This window comes from Homo sapiens, chromosome 7 (assembly GCF_000001405.40).
Source record: "Homo sapiens chromosome 7, GRCh38.p14 Primary Assembly".
Lineage (NCBI taxonomy): Eukaryota > Metazoa > Chordata > Mammalia > Primates > Hominidae > Homo > Homo sapiens.
This window is the reverse complement of record NC_000007.14, coordinates 116,165,728-116,168,778: the sequence shown is the minus strand read 5'-3', so window position 1 is coordinate 116,168,778 and position 3,051 is coordinate 116,165,728. Positions and strand designations below refer to the sequence as shown.

The 3,051-nt window shown below is 39.3% G+C and overlaps 1 annotated feature.

Moving 5' to 3' along the window:
* Positions 1,123–1,637: an enhancer, noted in NCBI's record as "OCT4-NANOG hESC enhancer chr7:115807196-115807710 (GRCh37/hg19 assembly coordinates)". NCBI's record gives its function as "activates a minimal SCP1, AML or CMV promoter by ChIP-STARR-seq in primed H9 embryonic stem cells {active_cell/tissue: H9 hESC(primed)}" and the evidence as "EXISTENCE:reporter gene assay evidence [ECO:0000049][PMID:30033119]".

Below are 3,051 nucleotides of genomic sequence, written 5' to 3'. Positions count from 1 at the left end.
TTTTGACAATATTCATCATTCTTAATATTCTTTTGAAAATGTGATATTTATAACTGATCATACAACACAGCTTAGTAGGATACTTATCTTCTCTTAGATAGGGATATTTCTAAAATAGACTAAGTCTATACTGTTTTCATTTTTTCTTTTGCATTAATTAGTTAATTAATCACTCTTTTTTTTTTAGCAGTCACATGCCATAGTTGGTTAATATTAAGCATGTGATCAACTACCAAAAATCCCCTTGGTCTTTTTCATGAGGATGACTGTTTATTCACATATTTGTTGTACTATGCAATCAATTTATAGAATATTAGGACTAAATGATCCACTTGTCAAGCATCTAGTCCAACCTTCTCATGAGAGAACTAGAGAACATTAAGGTTAATTTACTTAAGGAAGATTTACACAGCTTATTGGTGACAAAGCCAAGTTTAGCTTCATATCGAATGACTCCTATTCTGCACTCATTTCCCTGTATTCAGTTATTTCTTCTTGCTCTTAAAAGAATGTAAGGGGAACAGGTTTTATCATCTCCATTCTAAACATGATATAACTTAGAGTCAGGAATACTAAGTGATTTGTCTAAGGTTCCATGGGCAATAATGGCAACTGATTTTTTTGAACTGAAGTACAAAGCTGTTATTTTTCACATTTTCCAGGTACAGCCCTTTATGCTAGATTTTTAAGATTATTTTTAATTTTGACCCCATAATCCAGAAGATAACTATTCCTCCTATTTTTGTGCCATTTTAAAGGGTAATAAAAATAGAATTCTGCCAGCCAGAGTGGAAAATGGAAGCCTACTTGAATGCTTCAAGAGACTTTAACAAAGGTGTTGCATTAATTCCCCAGAGATGCCATAATAAATTACCGCAAACCCAGTGGCTTAAAACAAAAGAAATTTATTTTCTCACAGTTAAGGAGGCTAGAAGTCCAAACTTAAGGTGTTGACAGAATTGGTTTCTTCTAGAGGCTCTGAGGGAAAGCCCATGCGTCTCTCTTAGTATCTGGTGTTTGCTCACAATCCTGGGCATTCACTGGCTTGAAGAGGCATCACCCTAATCTGCCTCCATCTTCACATGGCTTTCTTGGTGTGTCTCTCTGTGTTTTTTCCTCTTCTCACAAAGACACCAGTCATTGGATTTAGGGGTCACCCTAAATATCCGATGATTTCATCTCAAGATCCTTAGTTAATTATACCTTCACAGACCCTATTTCCAAATATGGTCACCTTCTGAGGTTCTGGGTGAACGTGAATTTTGGGGAACACTATTTGAGCTACTTCACGAACTACTTATGAAATTGTGGGTAGAGTAAGAAGACAGATAAGAACAGGAAGTCCTTACCAGCCCTAGGCTTGAAGGGGCAAACAGGAAATGGTGCCTCAGCATCCCATTGAGAGCCAGAGCAGTGGAGGAGACATTCTAGCTGGGGAGAGATGTCGCCCTCACCAGGACACTCAGCGCAGAGCAAGTGGAGAATAGTAAAGGAGTACTCCAACCACTTCTTCCTCTCAGCATCTGATCTTCTTCAGATGATTCCCATTAGCCAAATTCAACCAGAAGCCAGCTGCAGTTCCCTATTACTGCTGTAACAAATGACCACAAGCTTGGTGGCTTAAATAATATAAATTTTTTATCTAACAGTTCTGTAGGTCAGAAGTCCTACAAAGGTCTCACTGGGCTCAAATAAAAGTGTCGGCAGGGCTGTATTCCTTTCTGGGGGCTCTAGAGGAGAATCCATTTCCTTGCGTTTTCCAGTTTCAAAATTCCCTCCATATTCCTTAGCTCGTGGCCAGCTCCTCCATTTTCAAAGCCAGCAATGGAAGATTGAGTCTTCACATAGCATCACCGACTTCTTCTGCCACATAAGGTAACATGTTCACAAGTTCCAGGGATTAGGATGTGAATGTCTTTAGAGGGGCCATTGTTTTTGCTTATCGTATCAGTTGATAGTCTATAGGATTCAGCCTCCTGGACAGGGCTGACTCCAAATTAGGTAGAGATGAGGCTTATACAGTGAGGAGCAGGCCATCTATAAGAAAAATAGTTCCAAATTACATTAGGCACAAAGTTTGGAAGAGGTAACATCTATGGAGTCCTGAGCTGAAGCTTCATTAGCTCCATAGTAAATCAGCCTTTGTTCCTGGGCACAGAGCAGGGCGAAGCAGGGTAGAGAATGGCATGGTGGGTAGGAGCAGTGGGGTAGGGCAAATGGGCAAGAATCAGAACAGCAGGTTTTATATTTTCCTCCTGAGAGCTGATTACAAGGTTGACTTGTTGGAGTCCATTGGTATTTAACCAATGCCTGTTCCTCAAAGCAACATCAATCTTCAAGCCTGAATCATCTGAAATTTGATCATCTTGTTCACAAGGATAGCATCAGCGATGGCCAACAGCTTAGTGAAATGGATTTATGCCATGCCTTCATAGAGCCTGGACTTCCTTCACCCACTGTTTCCTCTTACTGCAGTTAGGCAAATGCGTAGTAATGCTACTGAGCTTGGTGCATTCCCACTTACCCAGTAGTATTCCTTAACTTTTTAAGACAGTGTGGAATATTGGCACCTTTCCCTCCAGTCTTCCCCTCAAGTGGCCTGTAACAAGTTGTTCAGTCATTAATCCTGAAATGTTACAATGGAGCCTTAGATTTTAAAATCGGAAGTTCAGGTGTATTTTGTAGCCTATGGAAATTCCATCTAACCACAGCACATTCAAATCTAAATTTGCTACTTTCTTGTGACTGTGTAGTGTATTTGATACAAAATTTTCTTTCTAGACCCCCGAATTCTAGGACTTTACAGTGCAGTCATATGAGAGTGAGTCAGCAGTTTAATTCCAATCTGCGCCACCACCACCTAGGGACTTTCTAACAAGAACTAAGACTGTTATTACTTTTTTATTATGCAAGTAGAATAAAGAGGAACTACATTAACAAGAATAGAGAAGTGAAGAATACCAATTGCTGATGTCCTAATAGTTTTTAAAATATAAGAGTAAACTCCACTGTAGATTTTACTTTATGAAAATAGATCTATTTCCTGAAGAA